This window comes from Homo sapiens, chromosome 2, assembly GCF_000001405.40.
Source record: "Homo sapiens chromosome 2, GRCh38.p14 Primary Assembly".
In the NCBI taxonomy this organism is placed as follows: domain Eukaryota; kingdom Metazoa; phylum Chordata; class Mammalia; order Primates; family Hominidae; genus Homo; species Homo sapiens.
The window spans coordinates 81,459,917-81,485,229 of NC_000002.12; the positions used below are offsets into that span (position 1 = coordinate 81,459,917).

General features: G+C 36.9%; 2 long non-coding RNA genes across 26 annotated transcripts in view; one reads left to right on the plus strand and one right to left on the minus strand.

The window, feature by feature from the left end:
• Positions 1–1,442: 1,442 nt before the first annotated feature.
• On the minus strand, positions 1,443–7,030 carry LINC01815 (long intergenic non-protein coding RNA 1815). Its single transcript, NR_110161.1, has 3 exons — positions 6,658–7,030; positions 2,538–2,925; positions 1,443–1,524 (listed from the first exon to the last, which is right to left on the minus strand). It is a non-coding gene; the product is annotated as a long intergenic non-protein coding RNA 1815 (long non-coding RNA).
• A 14,791-nt stretch (positions 7,031–21,821) lies between these two features.
• LOC102724542 (uncharacterized) overlaps positions 21,822–25,313 on the plus strand; it is a 368,996-nt gene continuing 365,504 nt past the window's right edge. For all 25 annotated transcript variants that reach the window (NR_187701.1, NR_187699.1, NR_187692.1 and 22 more), the window contains exon 1: positions 21,822–22,188. This is a non-coding gene — a long non-coding RNA (uncharacterized LOC102724542). The remainder of the gene's footprint in view (positions 22,189–25,313) is intronic.

Consider the following 25,313-nt stretch of genomic DNA (forward strand, 5'->3'; position numbering starts at 1 on the left):
GATAGTGGCATGTAGGCTAGAAAAGTAGATCATGAAAGAAAATGGAACATCTTAAAGGCAAAACTGAATGGGTTGAGCTACACTCCTTAGGTGATGATTGCTTTCCTTCTTGCTTGGAATCTGCAATCAGGCCAGGAAATGAGGAATAATCAAAGAATTGGCATTGTCTAGCCTTGACAAAATTCATGCATATCAGCATGTGGAAATAATTGGCTCTTCACAGTTTCTCAGTTGGAACTGAGAAACTAGAAACTGGAATGAAAGGCCAATACAGTCACCAAAACAGAATAAAAGTACCTTAAGGGATAAAAAGTTGTAATCTATAATAAAATAATTCAATAGTACAAATAGAGAGAGATAGAACATGTCTTCTCATGAAAATATTTAACTTTTCAATCTGCTTGTTGGAAACAACTACTAATACCTAAGACTACAGACCAACACTTTCATGGGAGAAAGAATTTGATTGGTGGCACATTCCTTCCCAGTTATCCTCCCTCATCAGAGCATGCACTTTTAGAGTAACATGAAAAAATGCCATCAACATGATGAATAAACTCAAAAGTCTGCCATAAAAAATATTGATGAAATAGTATGAGATGTAGGGGCCGAAAAATAAATAATCAGTAAAATGGGGGACATTTTAAGTGTCCTTATATATTCCAAAAGTTGTCATGTATAAAACAGGTTAGCATTGGTTATGGGAATCCAATGGACAATATTAGATCCAGTGACATGCATGCTACAATTCAATCCACAAACAATTAAAAGACACTTATGGCATATCAGGCCCTCGATAGATATGGGAATATAAAGATGAAAGAGATAAAGTTATTGGCCTCAAGGAATTTACAACATAGCTGGATAAATGGCTAATGTAAATATGCTATAAATGAGAAGAGAGATTTAAATATTTACTGAAAGGAGAGAAGAGGGTTGGTGTTAGAAGTCATATTCCCACATACAGTATACTAAAATGTGAAGGAAACGTTAGAAATGGAGTTTCTTCTTTGCATAGCTCAGAATCTAAGGAAGTAGCAGTATTCATGGTTTAATCATTGTGTCAAACACTGTGCTGAGCCTTCTTTTGGAGGAAAAGCTGTGAAGCAAATTGGAGAAATGTAGGAGAGGCCCAGAGACCCCCTTTTTCCAGTTGGCATCAGAAATCCAGGTTGCAAACAACATGATGGGTCAACTTCTTGCTGTAGCACCCAGATAAGAGATTGATCATCTATAAAGCTTTAAGCAATAGTGAGAAAGGAGTATGATGCATCACTTGTGTGTTCTCTCAAAGAGGCAGCCAATATAAGGTGTGATTTATCTGACTTAGCAAATCACCACTCTTTTCTCTCAGAAAAGCTGAATATATGAATAGCACTATTTATACTTGGTGTGTATCTTAATCCCTTTTGTGTTGCTATAACAGAATACCCAAGACTGGGTAATTTATAAACAATACAAGTTTATTTGGATCATGGTTCTAAAGGCTGGGAAGTCCAAGAAAATGTCACTGGCATCTGGCCCCTGGTGGAAGACAGAAGGCATCACATGGTGAGAAAGAGTGAGAGCATGCAAGGCAGAGGAATAAAGGAGGCCAAACTCCCTTGATAACTAACCCACTCCTGTGATAACAGCATTAATCCTTCATGAGGGAAATGCCCTCATGACATAACCACCTCTTAAAAGTCTCACCTCTTAATACCATCACAATTGCAATTAAATTTCAACATCAGTTTGGAAGGAATATTCAAACCAGAGCAGCATGTATAGAAAGCCTTACCTAGGCTTCATGCTGAGACCATGTGCCAATTCAACCTTTTCCCAAGGCTCTTTTCTCTAAGTCAAAAAGTACTTACTATTAGTAAAATGCTACATTTTAATCAGTATCCCTCTATTTATTCCCCAGGGTAAGTAATGATTGGCACCAAAATACTAAAACATCCCTGATATATGATAAAATTAATTTCAAATGTCATCTTGATTCCTAACCCTCCTAATCCTCCTAACTCCATACCTGCTACTACTTTTGAGAGTTAATACTAAGTAGACCCTGGATTAAACCTACTACCCCAAATCTGATATTATTATCAGCTTCCAAGCTCATTGCCAACCCATTCCACAACTCTACTATGCCTTCTCTTGACCCTGTTTTATTGCTTCCACTTTTTGGTCCTGAATCTATTCCTTTTCTCCACTGTCTGCCTGCCTGTTACCCAGAAACCATCATATCTCCTTACTATAGGCACAGGAAACACATTGGACTCTGCAATCAGTCCTACACCAATTTTAATCTCGACTTTATTTGAATGCTGTGCCACATTGAGCAAGCCATGTAAATTCTAAATGTCCACTTTCTCCTGGGGAAATATTAAACTTAATGCACCACAGAGTACCTGGTAAATAGTAGGCATTTTATAAATGTGAATTATGTTCCTTCCTCATTTCTATAATCTTATATAAATCAATCTGAAGAAAATGCTTAACTGTGAGGAAGAAAAAGAGAGAGCAGTATTATACAGTTTCTGAAGAGAACTCACCTTTCTCTTGAACGATTTATCTGTCAGAATAAAGAACTGTGTTCACCACATTCTTTCATTCTGTGAAGTGGTCACACTCTAGATGTGGTGATGAAAGGAAGATGCCTTCTTCTTCACTTGCACAGTATAGCATGCTGCTATCTGGTGAATGTTTCCATAGAAACAGCAGAATGGCTGCCAGGGCAGGAGGTACGCTGGAATTCTTCATGGAGCCTTTTCTTCCCTTTAGCAGCCAGTGGCAGTCCTGGTTTGGTTGAACTTATGAGCAGACAGACATTGATTTGAAGCTGCATGTTCAAGAAGAACCAAGCTCAAAGCAAACTTTCAACATGTAGTCTTCTAACTTCAGGCAGAAAGGGGAGAGTTTCAGACATACGTTCTACTGGCACTAAATCAAAGAAAGTGTCAATCACCCATTATTCAGTTAAACTGATACTTGGGGCTAGTAAAACCAGCAGAACTGGCTGTGCATTTGTGGTCAAATGATTGATTTAAATACTTTGGTACTTTCGTAGGTCTACCAGCCTATGAAAGAGTCACCTCTACATTTTTTACCAATAGATGATCGTATGAACTGCATGATTTCCAGGATTGGAAAGATCTCATCGGTAAAAATAGTCCATTACACTGCTGCACAGTTTTAAGTCTGTTCTTCAATTTCACTGAAATTTGTTTTTCCCTCTATTTTTCAAGCAGAAGTATAACAGTAAAAATTATATCTATGGCCATGTTGAATTTGGAGGTAGGCATAGGTAAGGAGTAGGAATTCTATTAATCTTGAATAAAGGATGTTTCTCACAAATTTTTTTTTGTTAGTTTCTATCATGAAAGAGGATTTTAATGTTTTGCATTCTCAGAAATATTTGGGCTCTTCTGTGTCCTAGGATTTTGCTTTGTAATTTATGTAGCTCATTTCTTAAACAGCTTATTTGAACATAAGTGAAGTTCTGTCAAATTTTTGACAGATTCTTATTCCTCACATTCTCCCTGGCCTTTAATAAACAGAGCTATCATGCAAAATTTTTGGGGGTGTGTGTGTGTGAACCAGTTATGGATCAAGTTATTTGAAGAGTTTGAAAGATTTATTTGGAAAATCAAAGATAAATTAGTTTTTGGAAGAAAGTATCTCAATCAAGTGTTTCTATACTCATCTATACCAACTGAACCTGCAGAATTCTTAAGTTTTATTTCTCTAAGGCTGTGCATAAAAAATAGTTATGCATGTGTGTGGGGGGAAGTTTTTGAATCACATTACAGTAACAAGTTTAGGAAAATAATACACTTCAAGTAATTACATTGACTTTTCCTCTAAATTTTTACTTCAGTCAGTGAAAAGGCCTTTTAATTGAAGAGTGGCATGATTTAAAAAAAAAAAGCTTTGACTACTTTTAAATGTTAATCTTAAATAGAAAGGCACAGATAATGTGTTAGAGCATGCAATATTGCTAAGAAAAATATAGGGAGATTTATTATATGGTTACTGTATTAGTCTCTTCTTGAATTGCTACAAAAAAATACCTGAGACTGGCTCATGTATAAAGAAAAGAGGCTTAATTGGCTCACAGTTCCAGAGGCTGTGCAGGAAGCACCTTAGCATCTGTTTCTGGGGAGACCTCAGAGAGCTTTTACTCATGGTGGAGGGAATCTTTTACCCATGGTGGAGGGCAGTGGGGGAATAGGCATCTTATATGGCAGGACCAAGAGAGAAACGGGAGGTGCCACAAACTTTTAAACAACCATACCTCATGATAACTCACTATTACAGTGACAGAATCAAAGGAGATGTTGTTGAACCACAAGAAACCACCCTCATTTTTAATTACCTCCCATCTGGCCCCATCTCCAACACTGAGGATTGGACTTGAACATGAGATTTGGGTGTGTCCAAACCGTATCAGTTACTTATTTGCAATTTTCAGATGAGATGGAAAGGCAGAAAGGGATAAATAGTTGAAATGGCAAAAAAAAAATAATCAACAGGATAAGGTTTATATTTCACTTTCACCACATTATATTTTCAATATAGCTTTCTTTCTTTCATATGCATTTGAGTAGTATTTAAAATTGCAACTTCAGTTAGAGTTTCCTTTTGTAACTCTACCTTAGTTACCGTAGGCCTTTTGGTAATTCATTATCCCCTGAAATCTCAGTTACCTAATGACACACAGAACCTTACTAGTTCTGCTGATCCTACCACACCCTTTCTTCCTAAATTCTTCACTTATGATGATGTATGCATATAAAAGCTCCCCATTATTCTCACCTTTTTCCTGTCCAACATTTTTCTAACCGTCTTACATTAACTGAAATTGGACTGTCTTCTGATGTCATTAAATTCCCTCTCCAACTTCACATTTTCTCACACCTTATATATCTTACGGTGGGGAGCTGGGAATGGAATTATCTTCATGCATCAGAATCAACTCTAGGTTATTACTTCCCCTCTATTTTCTAACACTGTCAGCTCTTAAAGTTCATTCCATTCACCTAAAACCTTCTCTTTCCCACCTGGTTGCTGAAATCTGTAGGCATTCTTCATTGAAATTTTGTTTATGCTCAGTGATTGACAACGTCATCTCCAAATTCCTTTTCATCCTCTCTATTTTAGCCACACAATCCCAAGGTTACACCATAGATTTTGTTAACAAACACTGCAGATTGCCAACATCATAAATTCAAACTGGCTACAGTTTTCTAGATTTTCAGCTCATCTAATTTATGACATTGAAAGCAATCTTTGTGGCAGAGAAAGTATTTGCCAAATTCCCCAAATGAAATGAGCTTCTGTTTACTTTCAAAACTCCCTTGGAGCACACTGAATTCATGTGGCTAATTCTAGTTAAAGTATACCAAATGAAAAGTGGTTGTACAACCTCTATCCCATGCTGCCTCTGCTTAAACGACTTTGGGAGTCATGCATTAAAATAATAGCATGACAACACGGATGAAGGCTAAATCAACTCCTAGCTAGATGAAATAAGGAGTCCTCACTAACACATTTCAAGATGGTCTTGCCTAAGAAATTACCTTTTGTTATACTAGCCAATGAAAATTTGAGGATTTGTTTCTTGTGCGACGAGTGTTAATTATCCCAAAGAAAAGTTGGCTGTCACAATCCATTGAATTCCTTTCCTTTTATGTAGTGACACTCCCTTTCTGCCTCTACTTTCCTTTTCATCTAGCTTGTATTTTATGGTCCATACTTATATTCAGCATTTTGTTAATTAAGTCTATCACTCTTTATACTTTCTCCTGTCAAAACCTCACCCTTGGATCAATAAATCATCTGCATTCTCTAGTCTCACACCAAGCACCCAAATGTTTTCTTATCTACAATGTCATGATTACCTCTTTAAAAGAGTACTCTACATGGGAAGATGTTTGATTATTATTTTTTAGTATGTTTACTCCACAAAATGCTTATTACATACTTTTAACTTAATATTAAAAAAGTCTCTTTCTGCTTTTATTTTCAGTTAATATGTTTCACACCTTATTGAGAAAATAGAAACCATTTAAAAATAAATCTCTTCTTCTACCCTCAAAACTATTTTAAAACTATCATCCTCTTCATTAGTCATTGTCTTCTTTTTTCCACTCACTTCTCCATTCCTTCATTCTAATGAAGTATTTCTATTTGTATGAAGGACTTATTCATTCCCATATGTTCAGTTTCCATTACCTCTCATCTTCTCAAAGAACCTAGTATTCTCCTCCACATGTCTAATAATAATTCTATCTGGAAAAGTCACAAATTTATTTCCTGTCTCCTTCTACCTACTGCCCTAATTCCTGTTCCACTTCACACTCAAACTTGTGAAATAAATGTTTTAACATTTACTGTGTCTACCTCCTCACCTAACCATTCTCTCCAGTCCCTGACTCCCCTGCACTATTTGGCAAAGACTGTTCTATGTATATACATATATATTTACAAAATGTATTATTTTACTACCTCTAATTTTAACATATATCAGGCACTTCAGAACATCTAGAAAGACTAGACCTTACAAAAACTTTAGCATTGTCAACTATATATACAGTAGTGAGAATAAAATGCACACAAAACAATGGATAGAGTATGAAAAGTCTTCTAAATATGACTAGTCTAGCACAGAACCTTCTTTTCCTTCTCAGGTCTTCTGCTCCATGTCCTCTAGCCCATTGAACAAACGTGGACGTGTTGCTTCCAGAAGTGGTCTAATAACTCCATTTCAAAAAGTCAACTCCAGAAGACATTTTCTATGACTTCTTTTTAAACTAATGAGAATTTGCAAGGTGTGTGATTTTCTAACTCTACTTCATACGTTGGCAACCTCTTTACTCTAGAAGGGCTGGATGTGGCAAATGTTTTCTTTTAAAAGGTTTTGGGGGAGAAGTTGAGAGCAGCTTTTTCATATTATATAGGCAGGCATTCTATAAACAGCCAGTAAATCTTCCCAAAAGATGGTGGGCATTTCCAGCGGGCCAAATGGGGGATGTCATTCTGCCATTTCTCTCTTCCGACAGCAAGGTCGATAGAACATAGAGCAAGTGCCGCTAACCGTTCCACTCGTTGTAGGGACTCTGCTCACCTTCCAGGCCCGTTAAGGCCGTTGTCCCTTGTCGTCAGGACTAGGTACGTCTCTTGCTCATTCGGGACAGAGTGGTCACCCAGGACCTGGATCTGCACGGCTCTGTGACCTGAGAAGGCAGCTAGCTGAGGCAGCGTCTGTGACCGCCTTCCTGGACCCTCCACACCCTAGCGGCTCTGTCACGTGACACTCAAGTGGCCGCCATTATTATGGCCCGACACACCTGCCGCCACCCAAAGTCGCTGAGTCCTCGCGGCTCGGCAGGGGCTTTGTCTAGGCCCGACAGGATTGGACCGAGAGACCCGGCGGCCAGCGGGTTCAGGGCTGGGAAAGGCCGCCGCTGCCATCAGGTCTCCAGGCGGAATAGGGAAGAGAGGTTCGCCGCTGCTTCAAAGCCTGGCTGCCCGGCCTTGGCTGCCACAGCTAGGTCTCGGGGCGTCTGCAGGGCAGAGGGCGCGCCCGCTGCGTCCCCAGCTCGCTGCAGGCCCAGGCAGCGTCCAAAGCGCCCCCGGGGCGAGGGCAGCTGGCCGTGCTTGGCTTGCTCTCTGCCAGAACGGAACTCAAGACCGTTAAGACATATACCTGACCACTGTCTTCCTGCATAGAAGAGAACATTTTTTTCTCCTTATCTTTTTAGAACTCATAACAACAGAGTTAAGCACTTTTCCTCTTTCGAAACACATTGGTATGTTTCAAATGGCCACTCCCTCTTTATTCGCCAAATCTCATTGTACACAAATGTTTGTTTCTTCTGTTTCCATCCTTTTACTTTCTATTTTCTGTTACTAATTCATTTCATTCAGTTTTTACGTCTGTGAATATCCTCTCTAATGCCTTAACTACCAAAATTTTCTCTCTCTTTTTTGTTTTTAGAGAAAGGGTCTCACTATGTTGCCCAGGCTGGAGTGCAGTGTTGTGATCTCAGCTCACTGCAACCTCTGCCTCCTGGGCTCAAGTGATCCTCCCACCTCAGTCTCCTGAGCAGCTGTGACTGCATGTGCACCACCAGGCCCTTTTTTTTTTTTTTTTAATAGAGACAATCTATTTTGCCCAGGCTGGTTTTGAACTCCTGACCTCAAGCCATCCTCTTGCCTTAGCCTCCAAAAGTGCTGGGATTACAGGTATGAGCCATCACATCCGGCCAAAAATTTTCTTTCTTATTTTGACTCCTAAGCATATTCAATTAGTGCTTGATATCTTCACTAACACCGTTCAAAGTTTCCCAAACTTAACATGTCCAAAATGAAATTCTAAATATTTTCTTCCAAGATTTCTCCTGCATTTTTATATATTTCTGTAAATGTGCTGCTGCTAAAATGCTGGAAATCTGTCATTATTAACAATTCACTCTAGCTCAACACAATGTTCTATAACCAAGCCTGTTTATTTTACATTAAATATGTACTTATAATTCATGCTTTTTCATTCAAATCTTTGCAGCTACTGTTGACTCAATCTTGTTGTATTAAAGTTGTTTCTTTAGTGTTGCCCCTGTTTGAATTTTCTTACCTTTATCCCACCCATCCTCAATTTACAATCCATTCTACTACACAACTGATAGACTGTTTAAAAAATCATGAGTGAGATCAAATTTCACACAAGGTTTAAATTACCAATTGTGAAAAATTGGCATTTTGAATTGTGAAAAAAATTTCAAACACCTTTGCATGTATTACAAAGCCCTGGTGAGCTGATCCCTACCTAGCTTTTCAGCTGTGTCAAGCATCACCTTTCTCCTGTGCTTAATATGTTCAAGACATTTCTTTCAGTTTTTCAAATTAACTTTTAGAAGTTTTACATATACAAAAAAACGGAGGAAGAGTATAAAATTTCCCACACACTTTATAGTCAGTTTCCTCTATTATTAACATCTTACATTAATCTGGTCTATTTGTTACAATTAATGAATTAATATTTACATATTAATAATAACCAAAGTCCATACTTGTGTTTTTTTTAGTTTTTACCTAATGACCATCCAGGACCCCATCTGGCTTACCCACATTAGAGTTAGTCATTATGTTTCCTTAGGCTTCTCTTGGCTGTGGCAGTTTCTCAGACTAACCTTGTTTATGATGACCTTGACATTATGGAGAGTACTGATCAGGTATTTTGTAAAGTGATCCTCTATTGGGAATTGTTTGATTTTTTTCTTATGATTAGACTTAAGAGTTTTAGGGAGAAAGTCCATATCCCATTATATCAAGGGTACCTACTTTTAACATGACTCATTACTGTTGATGTTGACCTTCATAACTCAACTAAAGTGTTATAAAAGTAAGTATAAAGTTATTCTGTTTTATTTTTTTCCCACTTCTCTTCTCTTTGGAAGAACATCATTATACACAGTTACGCTCTACCTTCTTCATGGCAGAGAATATATATAAATTATTTGGAATTCTGAATAGGAGATTTATCTCTTCTTCTTCACTTATCAATTCCTTTAATTATTTATTATATTTATATAAACTGGTAGATATTGATTTTATACTTTGGAGTTTAATACAATACTGTTTATTTATTTTTTGGTTCAAATTGTTCCAGCAATTGGCTATATAGGGAGCTCTTTCTATTGGCTCCCGTTTCCCTTCAACATATTCCCATCATCTTGGGTTTTTGGTTTTGTTGTTTTTCTGAGCACTTCCTTACTTCTTTGCATTACACGATGCTCCAGGCTTATCTTGTATATGTCCTGCCCTGTGTTTGTATCAGCTATTTTACCAAGCAGTCCTGCTTCCTTTTATTGTAGAATGTTAATAGACCCTGAAATCTGGGAGCTATGTGTGCTCATTGCTTTTGCGGTATCAATGTTTCTAGGGTCTTTTAGCTGACAGAGCAAGAAAATGTATGTGTAAGCAAGCATCTCTTCATATTTCTATATGTAGCCATCTGTATAGATATTAAGCTAAAGCTGAGTTCATAATGATGTCTCCAATTCTACTTTATTAACACCTGGACCTCTATAACTTCCTGCTCTTGCTTATCTGTAACCTCTCTTTGCAACAGTGAGAAATCTGGCTACTATCATTGCCATTCATTTGCAATTGTTTATGTTCAGTGTGCACATTAGCACTCTTAACTGGAGTATAGTGCTTATATACAGCATCTTTTGTCTTTAATTTTAGATTCCTTTTCCAAAGGTATTTAGGTCACCTGCCTTTACCCAACTTCATTCAGGGAGGTTGTTTTATATTTCTAATGCCATTTGATTTTTTTTCCACATTCTGCATTCCATCCTGGATTTCCGCCAACCTCGTGAAAAAACATATATATATATAATTGAATATATATATATATATAATTTTGAATATATATATATGTGGAAAACCATCCAATATCACTAAGACCAAGGGACCGTGCAACAAAAGAAGATTCTATATTAATCAATGCAGTTGCTAAATTAACTTTTAGTCATTTTTATATGTTCAGAATACTTGAGCTTTTTTTCATGGGTAATTTTTTACTAGAATTGAAACGATTAAGAAGAACAATAAAGAACCATTAGATCACTAACTCCGTTTATCTCAATTGCATTCTTTGGTAATAAGTTTCTGTTTAATAATTTTGCATGTTTCTGTCATTCAATTTTTTTTTTATTATGCACTTGGACAAGTTTCCATTGTAGGATAGTTTTGGTCATAGTTTTGGTTCTGTTTGTTTGTTTTGTAACCCATGAAATTAAAGATCAAAAAACTACCTTGAATAATAATACCATTTTATTGTCATTACCCTCCTTCTGTCTCTGATACCTCTTCTCTTTCCTTACCAAACTAAACCTCATTGGAATAATAGAAATAATAATACTGTATGTGAAACATGAATGAAATAGAAACAGTTTTAGTAAGCAAAATAACATAGCTTTGTATATCATATTTATCTGGGCTTGATTTCTCTATGCTTACATGTTTATACTCTTGAACATGGTCTTCTTTTCACCAGAAGAAAACAATCAAAAATAGTTTACTTAAATTTAAAGTCACAGTCTATAGCCTGACGTAGCGACCATCTCTACATGACTCAGTGTGCCTAAATATGTTATTTTATTACAAAAACAGTACATTCTCACTTAATAAAGACATTTAAATAAATGAAAAAATGTTCAATGGTATATAATCATATAATCACACTGCCTGCATATTTTATTACTATTTTCATAGTCTATGAAACACATTTGTGTGATTATATTATGTATATGTGCTTATACGTAAACTTAAATGAGTGCCTTACAAAATGAAATGATATACATAGATACCATATGTATACACATACATCATGACATACATACATTACATATATAAATTACCATCTTTATGTTGGCAAATAATTCTATGAAAATGTAATACCATATTTGTTTAATATGTATAGCTATTTAGATTTTGTCCCATTTTTTACAACTTTAAACAGTGATATACATCTTTGTATTAGTATCATTTTCAATTGTATTCTTTTTAATATAACTGTGTGGAATTTTGGAGTCAGTATCTGATCATTTTCTTTTAACTTTCAAAACATTTATTAAACAACCTGAAAGGAAGTATTTTGCCAATTAGCAATCCTAACTGGTATGTGTGACATGCCCCATCAATTAAAACTTTTTAAATTTTGGCCAGTCTAGAAGGCAAGGTTTTTACATATCTCTTATTTTTGAGTTCTATTTCCGGTAAGTTTGACTTTATTTATTTATTTATTTATTTATTTATTTATTTATTTATTTCTTCTACACCACAGGCAAATTCTGAAGAGTCAGAACGTGCTAGAAGGAGGACATGACCTATGTATTACCTACAATATGTCACAAATTATCTCCCCATATTAAGAAGAAAGCTAGTAAAAGCACATTACTGAGTATGTGGTGAACCTGTTCCAACACATACAATAAATGACATGTCAGACCAGGCTGGCTTTATGGGTGTTGCAACAGGATGCATTTGGCCATTTTGAAGTGACTTACTACCAAAAATATCTCCTGCTTTGTTTAGCCACTGTGCAGATATTTTTATTTTTTACCATTCCTTTTAAATATATTTTAAGTAAGAAGCTAGATACGAGAACAATTTAAGCAGGAGTAACTCTGTATTACATTTAGCTTGGAAATATTTATTATACTTAATGGAATACAACATCTGTGGCACTGATGAAAGGGAAGTCCATTTTCATGGTAGATCTCAAATCAATAATTACTCTTTCTGAGGTAAGGAACAAAATTTAACATTACTGCTTTGATATATTAGTAAATTTTGAGTTTCTGTAGGAGGGGGATATGTAATTTACTTTCTATTTATATTCGTTTATAGTAATACTAGAAGTCCTAGTAGAAATGTTCAACTTATACTACTTTCTGTCATTTTTATAGGTTAATACCCTCCAAATATTTAAAAATCAACCGATAAGTCTTTCACATCTAGTGTTATTTCTTAGACATACATATATGTATCTAAGAAATACACACACACACACACACACACACACACACACACACACCAGTAAAATGATGGCCTTGCATGCAATAGTTCTTTCCGATATTCCTCAACTAAATCCACCTGGCCATAGTCTGATGGGTTTTCAGGGCATTGACAACTTTAGATAATTTAAGTCTCACTAGCGCTACAAGCTAAAGTCATTAGTATGAGAGATTTACTACACTGTTGTAGATCAGGTATCTTTTCACTTTCTATAATGCCTCCATTTTAGGCATACTTTCTTAGTTTGAGAACAAAATATCACACACACACACACACACACACACACTTAAACACACAAAGATATATGCAAGTGATTAAACCCATTAATATTTCTATTTTCCTGAAGATAAAAAGAAACTTACAAATCTTTGTTAGCACTTCATCCAATGCTAATTATATGTTACTATTCTCTAATATTTTAGTTCGCTGATATTTTGTTATCCCACATTTAGACATCATCAAGATCTTTATTATTATTATGTTAGACAGTTCATATTTATTTATAGTACCCATGATTACTAATATCTGGCTCTCTTGCTTCTTAGACATTATTCTTGCTTCTCAGACATTCTTTCTGGAGCTATTTTACTTTGTCCTGTTTTCTTTCATAATAATATCCAACTATCATATCTCTTAGCGTAGGCTAGATTATACTATAGAAATAAATATGCCCAAATAACCAAAGGTGTATGTTTCAAACTTATGCTGTATACCCAACATAGGTTGTTTAGGATCTTGGACTGAAAAGGCTCTATCTCAAAATATGCTTCTACCATCAATGCAACAAAGGAAAGGGATTGGGCCACTGCATTCTGGCACTTAAAGCTTATTCTGGAGAGTGGTCGTGATGTAATTTTACATGTCAGCATGGCTAGGCTATGTGCCCAGATGTTCGGTCAAGCACCCGTATAGATGTTTCTGTGAAGGTGGTTTTTAAATGTGGTTAACATTTAAATCAGCAGGATTTGAGTAAAGCAGATTACTTTTTATAATGTGAGTGGGACTCATCCAATCAGGTTAAGGCTTTAAGAGCAAACACTGAGGTTTTTCAGAGAAGCAGTTTTGCCTCCAGACTTTCTGCCTGAGTTTCCAGCCTGCTGCCTTACAGAAATTGAATTCAAGACTGCTACATCAGCTGGGCATGGTGGCCCATGCCTGTAATCTTAGTACTGTAGGAGGTTGAGGTGGTCAGATTGCCTAAAGGCCAAACCTCATCTTCACAGAAAATACAAAAAACTATCTGGATGTGGTGGCACGCACCTGTAGTCCCAGCTACTTCAGAGGCTGAGGTGGGAGGATCACCTGAACCCAGGAAGTTGAAGCTGCAGTGAGCCATGATGGCAACACTGCACTCCAGCCTGGGCAACAGAGTGAGACCTTATCTCAAAACAAAAGCAAAACAAACAAAAAAGACTACTACACCAACTGTTGCCTTAATTTTCAGTATGGTGGCCTGCTCTAAACACTTTAGATTTCCAGCTCCCACAATTGCATAATTCTGTTTAACTTTTTGAGGAAACATCAAAATGTTTTCTCACCACAGCTACACTATTTTATGTTTCCACCAGCAATGTATGAGGTTTCCAATTTCTCCACATCCTCACCAACACTTATTGTCTTATTTTAAAAAATATTATAGCCATCCTCCTGAGGATAAAGTGTAGAAGACTATTTTTAAATCAAATTGATGTGAACTTTTTATTTACCTTTTGCTTTTTTAGAAAATGTTTTCTGTTTTCTAGGTTTGAATCATAATTAATTATAGTCTGTCTAATAATTTTATTAAATTAAGTCCATGTTTCTTTTGTTTGTTTCTGCCTACCCTTTTCTATAGTGAATTTTGTTTTTGTTTGAGCTTATGCTTTCTAGCACTGCGTGAGTAATTATAAAAGGTCTGAGCATTTATCCCTCCAAACAGGATTTTTCTTTGCTTCTGCCAGGCAGCCTAGTGGTGGTAACAAATGTTGGGTCATATTAAGTTAATTTCGTAGGTTGGTGTTACATCCTTATAGCAGTGTAAATTTTAATGGCAAATTAATGTAAGGATAAACTGGGTTTCACATTTTCGGTGGAGTTATTTTTTTTCTAAAGCTCAACCACATTCTCTATTACTGTTTAATTTTTGTTTGTTTATTATGATGAGATTTTTCAGGTTCATTCAATTGAATTAATCATAATTCTTGGCTATCACTAACATTGGTCATTAGTTAATGGTGGACTTTCTATATTGGTCTATGTATGGATTGCTTCTTTTTTTAGTTAGATATATATATCACTATTTTAAATAGCATAATAAGCACCTATAAGTCTACTGTTGAAATAAATGCTGGGAATTTAAAAATTATCTACGTGTAGCCATATGTTTCTCCTGCCCACCCAAGCTTGTGCCATCCCACAACCAACATAATCATCAAATCATTGCCCTGAATTCTCTTTATTATTTCATTTCTTTTTAATATTGTTTTATTATATCTGTATGCACATTAAGATGGTGTGTGTATGGAAGTACTCTGTATACTAGCTTTAATATATTTATTTGTACTCTTTAAATATCTATGTATAATTTTAGTTGCTTTTAATTGTATAAAAATATATGTCATGCTACATATAAAATTTGTAGCTGGGCATCCGAGTTGTACTTCCAGGTTTTTGTTACAATACCTATTGCTGTTATAAGCATTGTTATACCTGTCTCTGATTACAAAACTTTCTCTGGGTATATGTCCAGAGTTGAATTCTTGATTCATAGAGTATGTGAAAATTTAACCTTAGGAGTTAATAACAAAGGTGTTTTTTTAAAGGGGCTGTACCAAATACAGCAGACCAGCAATGTATAAGTTGCAGATCTATTTAATTCGTACCGTTTCTCCCTGAAGTTTTAATTTTTGCATGTTCAGTGAGATATAAATGATATGTCATTGCAGTCTTTTCATTTTGTGGTCATCAGTGTTGTTGAATACCTTGTTTAAAGTTTACTTGTAATAGGTTTGTCTCTTATATAAAATGCCATGCAAATTTCTTGTCCATTATTCATTTATTTCATGTTCTTCCTAGTAATTTTTCAGAGTTTTTAATACATTCTTCACCTTAGTTTTTGGTCAGTTCAATGTAGGGTGAATATTTTCTCATTTGCATTTTTATTTTCACCCTGTTTAAGGCATGATTTGTTAAATAAAAGTTCTTAAAGAATGTCATGTTTCTGGCCGGGCGCGGTGGCTCACGCCTGTAATCCCAGCACTTTGGGAGGCCGAGGCGGGCGGATCACGAGGTCAGGAGATCGAGACCATCCCGGCTAAAATGGTGAAACCCCGTCTCTACTAAAAATACAAAAAATTAGCCGGGCGTAGTGGCGGGCGCCTGTAGTCCCAGCTACTTGGGAGGCTGAGGCAGGAGAATGGCGTGAACCCGGGAGGCGGAGCTTGCAGTGAGCCGAGATCCCGCCACTGCACTCCAGCCTGGGCGACAGAGCGAGACTCCGTCTCAAAAAAAAAAAAAAAAAAAAAAAAAAAAAAAAAAAAGAATGTCATGTTTCTGAAGGGTTTCTTTTATTATAAGTGTTTTGTATATCTTGTCTCATACATTTTGTTACCACAAGGTCTAAAAGATGTATATTTCTATATTCTACTATGAGATTTGACATCTATTCTGATAACTGAAACCTTAATTTATCTTGAATTGGATCAGGTCGAATTAAGTTTGAAATAATTTTCTATGGATTTCTAATTTTTAGAGCTCCACTTCAAGAAGAGTTCCTCCTTATTCCAGTAATCTGCATACCAATTTTGTCATTTAACAAACTCCCATACATCTGTGGGTCTCGTTAATGTTTCTGCACCCATACTACATTGTTGTTTATTATAGTTGTGTAGATACAATTTCTGTATCTGCCAGGGAAAGTTCCTGGTCTTTGAGTTTCTTCATCAGTAACCTAAACAGCACAGTACTGGTACCAAAACACACAGGCCAATAGAACAGAATAGAGAACCCAGAAGTAATGCTGCATGCCTACAATTATCTGATCTTTGACAAAGTCGATGAAAACAGCAATGTGGAAAGGACACTCTATTCAATAAATGGTGCCGGGATAACTGGCTAGCCATATGCAGAAGGTCAAAACTGGATTATTTCATTACACCAAGTACAAAAATGCACTCAAGATGGATTAAAGACTTACATGTAAAAGTAAAAATAATAGAAATCCTGTAACATAACTTAGGAAATATTCTGGACATAAGACCAAAGATTTCATGACAAGCATGCCAAAAGCAATTGCAACGAAAACAAAAAAGACAAATCAGACCTAATTAAACTAAATATCTTCTGCATAGCAAAAGACACTACCAATAGAGAAAACAGTCTACAGAATAAGAGAAAATATTTGCAAACTCTGCATCCAACAAAGGTTTAATAGCTAGATTCTATAAGGAACTTGATCAAATTTACAAGCAAAAAATAAACCCCATTAAACGCAGGAGCAGAAAATCAAACACTGCATGTTCTCACTCATAAGTGGGAGTTGAACAATAAGAACACATGGACACAGGTAGGGGAACATCACACACCGGGGCCTGTCGGGGGGTGGGGGCCAAGGGGAAGGAGAGCATTAGGACAAATACCTAATGCAAGCAGGGCTTAAAACCTAGATGACAGGTTGATAGGTGCAGCAAACCACCAGGCCACACGTATACCTATGTAACAAACCTGCACATTCTGCACATGTATCCCAGAACTTAAAGTAAAATAAAAAAAGAAAAAAGAAAATTAACAACAACAACAAAAAGTGGACAAAAGACATGAACTGACACTTTTCAAAAGAAGTCATACATTTGGCCAACAGGCACTTGGAAAAATACTCAACATCACTAATCACTAGGGGAATGCAAATCAAAACCACCATGAGATACCATCTCACACTAGTCAGAATGGCTATTATTTTTATTTTTTTGAGATGGGATCTCACTATGCCACCCAGGCTGATGTGCAGTGGCATCATCTCAGCTCACTGCAACCTCTGCCTTCCTGGCTCAAGAATTTTCCTGCCTCAGCCTCCCCTGCAGCTGGGACTACAGGCATGTGCCACCATGTCTGGCTAATTTTTGTATTTTTTGTAGAGATGGGGTTTAGCCATGTTGCCCAGGCTGGTCTGGAACTGCTGGACTCAAGCAATCCATCCACCTGGGCCTCCCAAAGTGCTGGGATTTATAGGTGTGATCTACCACAGCCAGCCATGGCTATTAATAAAAAGTTAAAAAAGTAAAAGTGCTACAGAGGTTACGGAGAAAAGGGAATGCTTATACACAGCTGGTAGGAGTGTAAATTAGTTCAGCTTTTGTAGAAAGCAGTGTGGCAGTTTCTTAAATAACTTAAAACAGAATTACCATTCAACTCAGCAATCCCATTATTGGGTATACACCCAAAGAAATACAAATGATTCTACCATAAAGACCCATGCACGTGTATGTTTATTGCAGCACTATTCACAATGGCAAAGACATGGAATCAACCTAGATGCCTATCAATGGTAGACTAGATAAAGAAAATATGATACATATATACCATGGAATACTATGCAGCTATAAAAAAGAACTAGATTATGTCCTTTGCAGCAACATGGATGGAGCTGGAGGCTATAATCCTGACTGAAATAACACAAGAACAGAAAGCCAAATACCACATGTTCTCACTTATAAGTGAAATCTAAATGTCAAGTACATATCGACACAAACAAGGGAACAACAGACACTGGAGCCTACCTGAGGATGGAGAGTGACGGGAGGGTGAAGATTGAAACACTACCCATCAGGTGCTATGTTTAAATTGGTTCACAGTTTTGCAGGGCTGGAGAGGTCTCAAGAAACTTATGATCATGGTGGAAGGGAAAGCACACATCTTTCTTCACATGGCAACAGGAAGGAGTAGTGCAGAGGGAAGGTTGGAAAAGCCCCTTATGGAACTATCAGATCTCATGAGAACTCACTCACCACCCCCATGCTCTAATCACCTCCCACAAGGTCCCTCCCCGAACATGTGGGGATCAAAATTCAGATTCTCATTCAAGATGAGATTTGGGTGGAGACACAGAGCCAGACCACATCATATAGGATGATCAGTTCACACAGTTGCCTCTCTTCGCTTATGGACAAAATGATGGTAATCTATTCTCGCTATGATATGTGATCCTCCACACCCTCATTTTGCATGTTACATGCTCTACTATCCCTTGTGTGGTCACTAGGAATAGAGGGAACCCACCAATAGAGAACCTACAAACCCTCATTTTGCACATTCCATACTCTGCTATCCCCTGTGTGGTCACTAGGAATAGAGGGAACCCACAAGGGTACACATTAATTTGGGGTCAAATTAAGAGGCTTTTGTCCAGGAACTTCTCTTTCTTTAACTTTTATGGAATGTATTGACACCTGGAGACTTATCTTTCAGTTTAGTAGAACCATCTTTGACTTTTAAAAAAATAGGATTTTCTAACTACCTATTGGGTAGTATGCTCACATGGGTGCAATATGCCCATATAACAAACCTGCATGTATACCCTTGTATCTGAGATAAAATTTGAAATTTAAAAGAAAAAACCAATTAAAAAATTTGTCCAGCTTTTGTAGATGTTTTGTTTCACTATTTTTGAGAACATATTGCTTGACATGTTTCTAGAAACAAAAAGTAGGCTTATTAATTTTACAGAATTATATCATCCTCATAAAGCTCTGAATTAAAAAAATCTTTATATCATTGAATATATAAATGTCTACACAGGATGGGCTTGAGTTGTTTCTTATAAATAAGATTCTGAAGTCCAGGTGTAAAATTTTAAAGGAAATTAAAGACAGATGTTTGAAAACACATATATTTATTTGCCTGGGTGTGTTGTGTGTTTGCTTTAACTAATCTATACCTAGTCTAATTTTCTTTCATTTAATTCTCTTTTTTGGCATCAGAGATATTTTCTTAAACAAAACTCAAGATGTCATTGCCATGTGTTAAAAATAATTTTTTTCCCTCAATCACCTACATAATTAATAGTCAAGATTGCATAGCATAGCAAATCAAGCAATTCAGTTTTGAACTCTCATTTTATTGGCCGGGCTCAGTGGCTCACACCTGTAATCCCAGCACGTTGAGAGGACAAGGCAGGTAGATCAGGAGGTCAAGAGATTGAGACCATCCTAGCCAACATGGTGAAACTCTGTCTCTACTAAAAATACAAAAATTAGCTGGGGGTGGTGGCACATGCCTCTAGTTCCAGCTACTCGGGAGGCTGAGGCAGGAGAATCACTTGAACCTGGGAGGTGGAGGTTGCAGTGAGCCAAGATCATGCCACTGCACTCTGGCCTGGTGACAGAGAGAGACTCCGTCTGAAAAAAAAAAAAAATCTTATTTTATCTCATCCATCTGTAAATCCGACACTTCAGCTTCAGCCACTGTGAAATACAGGTAGGGTAAGAACACGAGATTCTTAATCACACCTCTCTTTCTTTGTGCATGCTGTTCTGTCATTTGTAGTTTTTTGTTTTGTTTTGTTTTTTGCTACTGAGTCGTATGAGTTTCCTACATGTTTTGGATATTAATTTCTTATCAGATGAATGCTTTGCAAATATTTTCATCTATTTATTGGGTTGCCTTTCTTAATTTTAATTTTATTTTATTGCTATTCAGAAAATTTTATGTAATCCTACTTCTTTATTTATTTTTGCTTTTGGTGACTGTGCTTTTGGTGTCATATCCAGAAAATTACCATCAAGACCAATGTCCTGGGGCTTCTTCTATATGTTTTCTTCAAGGAGTTTTAGAGTTTTAGGTAATACACTTACATCTTTAACCCATTGTGAGTTAACTTTTGTGTATGATGTAAAATAAAGATCCAGTTTCATTTTTTTGGTGTGTGTGGACATCTGTATTTGTAAATACTGTTTGTCGAAAAGAGTATCCTTTCTTCATTGTGTATCCTTGGTGACTTTGTTGAAGATGAGTTGACTATGTATTCATGAATGTATTTCTAGGCTCTGTTCCATTGGTCTATAAGTATATTTTTATGCCAGAACCAAACTGTTTTGATTACTATGCTTGTAATATAATTTTAAATGAAGAGGTGTGATGCCTCCAGTTTTGATCTTTTTTTCTCAAAATTGCTTTAGCTATTTGAGGTCTTTTGTGGAGCCATACACATTTTAGAATTTTTCTTTTATTTCTATGAAAATATCATTGAAATTTTGATAGGGATTGAATTGAATCTGTAGATCACTTTATGTAGCGTGAACATTTTAAATTTGTGATATTTTCTATTTATTGACACAGAATATATTTCTATTTATTCATATCTTCTTCAATTTCTTTCATGAATGCTTTATAGTTTTCAGTTTTCAAATCTTCTACCCTCCTTGATTTTTTTCTTTAATATTTTATCCTTTTTGATGTTATTGTAAATTGGACAGATTTTTAGATAGCTTGTTAGTGCCTCAAAACACAACTGATTTTTGTATGTTCATTTTGTATCCTGCAACTTTACTGAATTAGTTTACTAGTGCTAACAGGTTTTTTTGTGGAATATTGAGAGTTTTTGATGTAAAAGATCATGTCACCCGCAGAGACAATTTAACTTTTCTTTTTCTACTTAGCTGCTTTTTATTTACTTTGCTTGTCTAATATCACAGGATCCTTTGGGTGTCGCTTCGCCAGCCTGAAACAACTGTGGCCGGCAGTGCCTCTACTTGAGTTTGCTTGTGCCCACTGGGCTCGTTCTGCTCACTTGGCTCAGCAGGCTATGCTCGGCCCAGCAGGCTATGCTCATGCTACTGGCCTGGATCATACGCTCCCTAAGGGCGAGCCAGGTGCAGAGCAGCGAGCGGTGTGTGAGTGAGCGAGCGCAGGGTCAGGCCACTGTGCACAGCTAAACACACTGGCTGCTGTGGCAGGGCAGGAAGCTCCAGGCACTGACGTAGGCACTGGCTCTGTTTGAGGCTGCCGCTGGACTAGGCATACCACAAGCAGCTTTTGATGCAGACGCCGACATCGGGACGAGGGGAACACGGTGACGCCCCAAAACTCGAGACACCAGCAACAATGGAGCCCCAAGTGGTGGGGGGATGTGCTAGAGTTCTCTCACGCCTGCCGCGCACAGCTCAGCGAGCCATGGGTGGGGGATTACATGTTTCAGCTAGTTTACTGCCGCCACCTCGCTCTGGAGGGCTGCTTCCGGGCTGGCTCAGCCCTGCCGCCACTTCCGGTCACATGGGGCAGCTGCCGGACACCAGGAGACGATGGAAGGTCTATAGTGTTACAGCTCTGACCCAGGAAGTCCCAGGGTCTTGCCTTCCAGAAGGGTCGCGGCTCTTCCCTCCCTCAGTCCAACGAACAGGAGCACGTCACCTCCCGCAGCTCGGGGAGCTGGCCAGGAACGTGTTACAGCCCGTTTCGCTCCTGTCCGCAGCTGGGTGAGGCAGCCAGGAAAATATTACAGCTCTTCTCACGCCCGCCATTCAGCAGGTCCTGACTTCTTGTGTGACATCCAGAAGAAAGGGGTTACACAGACAGCTGGAGGGTGAGCAAAGTGGAGAAGTTCTCAGCAGAGAGGAGACTGGAGTGAGTTGCCCCTACCCGCAGGTGGGTAATCCTGACGTGTGGCTGAGCCTGGAGTTTTCATGGGCTCACAAATGGAGGAAGTATATGCCGGTTGGTCCGTGGGCAGGCCTGGAAAAACACCATTTGATTGGCTGAAAGGCATCAAGAAAGTTTTTACTCCAGGTTGCCAATCCTACTTGGAACTGGTAGCCTGGTTTTTAGGCTCCAGGCTGTCTTTGGCTTGAAGGTCGGGTTTCACAGGGGACCCAACCATTCCTCCTAAGAATTGGTCTGCCTCCTGCTGCTATCACGAATTGCTTTGATTAGGACCTCAAGTACTATGTTGAATAAGAGTGGTGAGAGTGGGCCTCTTTATTTTGTTCCTAATCTTAAAAAATTTTCATCTCTTTATAATTGAGTATGATGTTAATTGTGGGCGTGTGATATGTGGCCTTTATTGTGTTGAGATACATCCCTTCTCTATTTTATTTATTCAATTTTTATCATAAAGGATAGCAAATTTTGTCAAATGCTTTTTCTGCATCTATTGTGATCATTTTATTATTTATTATTTTAGTGTTCTGTATATATTTGAGATTTGCATATGTTGAAACAGTCCTGTATTCCAGGAATTTGATCCTGGTGTATGATGCTTTTAATGTGATGGTGAATTCAGTTTGCTAGTATTTTATTGAGGAATTTTGCATCTACATTCATCACATATTGGCATATAATTTCCTTTTCTTGTAGTATCTGTGTCTTGCTTTAGTGTCTGGGTAATGCTGGCCCGAAGAGTGAGTTTGGAAGTATTCTCACCTTTTTAATTTTTTGAAAGAGTTTGAGAAATATTGGCCTTTATTCTTCCTTAAATGTTAGGATGTTCAATTTACCAATGAAGCCATTTGTTCCTGGTCTTTTCTTTGAGGGAGGTTTTTGATTACTAATTTTTTTTAATTTTTTATACTTGTATTTTAGGTTTTGGGGTACATGTAAAGTTTTGTTACATAGGTAAACACACGTCATGGTTTTTTTTTTTTTTTTTTTTTTTTTTTTTTTTTTTTTAGTAATTTACCCATTTCATCTAGGATATCCAATTTTTGGTGTACAGTTGTTCATAGTAGTGTCTTAAGATTCTGTATTAGTCTGTTTTCATGCTGCTGATAAAGACATACCAGAGACTGGGCAATTTACAAAATAAAGAGGTTTATTGGACTTGCAGTTCCATGTGGCTAGGAGGCCTCACAATCATGGTGGAAGGTGAAAGGCATGTCTCACATGATGGCAGACAAGAGAATAGAGTTTGTGCGGGGATACTCCTGTTTTAAAACTATCAGATCTCAGGAGACTGACTCGCTATCACGAGAACAGCATAGAAAAGACCTACCCCCATGATTCAATCAACTCCTATCAGGTTCCTCCCACAACACATGGGAATTGTGGGAGTTACAAGATGAGATTTGGGTGGTGATACGGAGCCAAACCATATTAGATTCTTTGCATATCAGTTAGATTCTGTGATATCAATTGTAATGTCCCCTCTTTCTCTCCTTTCTCTCCTTTTTTCTTAGTCTACCTGTTTGTTGATTTTATTTTTTCAAAAATCCAACTCAGTTTATTTTTTTCTATTTAAAAAAAAATCTTATTTTATTTCTGCTCTGGTATTTGTTATTTTCTTCCTTCTACTAACTTTGGGCTTATTTTATTTTTGTGGGTCCTTAACATGTAAAGTTAGGGTTTTTTTTTGAGACTTTTAATTTTCTTTATATAGGCCTTTATGGCTCGAAGCATCCCCTTTAGAATTACTTTTGCTGCATCCCATAAATGTTGGTACCTTATATTTCCTCTTTTGTTTCAAATTATTTTTCCATTTCCTTTTTGATATCTTCATCGACCCATTGGTTGTTTAGGAGTATGGTATTAAATGTTCACTTATTTGCGAACATACTCATCTTCCTTCTGTTATTGGTTTGGTTTCATAAACTTATAGTCAGAAAATAAACTTACTATGATCTTAATCTTCTTAAATTTGTTAAAACTTGTTTTGTAGGCTAACACATGATCTATCCTGGAGAATGTTCCATGTGTGCTTGAGAAGAATGTGTATTCTGGTGCTGTTGGATGGAATTCTTTGTATTTGTCTGTTAGGTCCATTTGGTCTAAAGTGAAACCCATGTCCAAAGTTTTCTTATTGATTTACATCTTGATAATCTACAAATTGTTGAATGTGGCATATAGAAGTCCCTTACTACTATTGTATCATTCTCTATTTCTGCCTTCAGAACTTTTAATATTTACTTCTCATTTATAGGTGCTCCAGTGTTGGGTGCATATATAGTTAACAATTGTTGTATTCTTTTAATGAGCTGACTCATTTATTATTATATAATGACCTTCTTTGTCTCTTTTTACAGTTTTTGACTTAGAGTCTATTTTGTCTAATACAAAGGCTATGATTTAAATGCTGATGTTCCCCCCAAAATTCATGTGTTGAAATTCTACCCCCAAGATGATGGTATTAGGATGTTGGGCCACTTGAAAGTGATTAGGTCATGGGAACAAATCTCTCATGAATATAATTATTGCCCTTATTAAATAGACCCCAAAGAGCTTGTTCACCCCTTTATGAGGACGCAACTAGAAGGTATCATTCATGAGACAGAAAATAGTTTCTGTTGTGAGGAAAATGATTTCTGGTTGTGAGGACACAACTAGAAGATATTATTCATGAAACAGAAAATGGTCCCTCACCGGACACTAAATCTGCTAGTGTTTTGATCTTGGACTTCCTAGCCTACAGAACTGTGAGAAATTAGTTTCTGTTACTTAAAAGCTTCCCTACTTATGGTATTTTATTATACCAGCCAAAATGTACTACAACAATAAGTATAGCTACTTATATTCTCTTTTGGTTTCCATTTACATGTAATATCTTTTTTTTATCCCTTTATTTTTAGTCTACGTGTGTTCTCAAAGGGGAAGTGAGTCCCTTAAAGGCAGAATTTAGTTGGATTTTTAAAAATCCATTCAGTCACTCTATTTTTTTTCCACTGGAGAATTTAATCAATTTACTTTAAGGTAATTATGCATATTTTAGAGTGATTGAAAGTTCTGTGGATGAAACTAGTTTTTTAACAGATAACCTATTATATCTCATAAATCTCAATGTG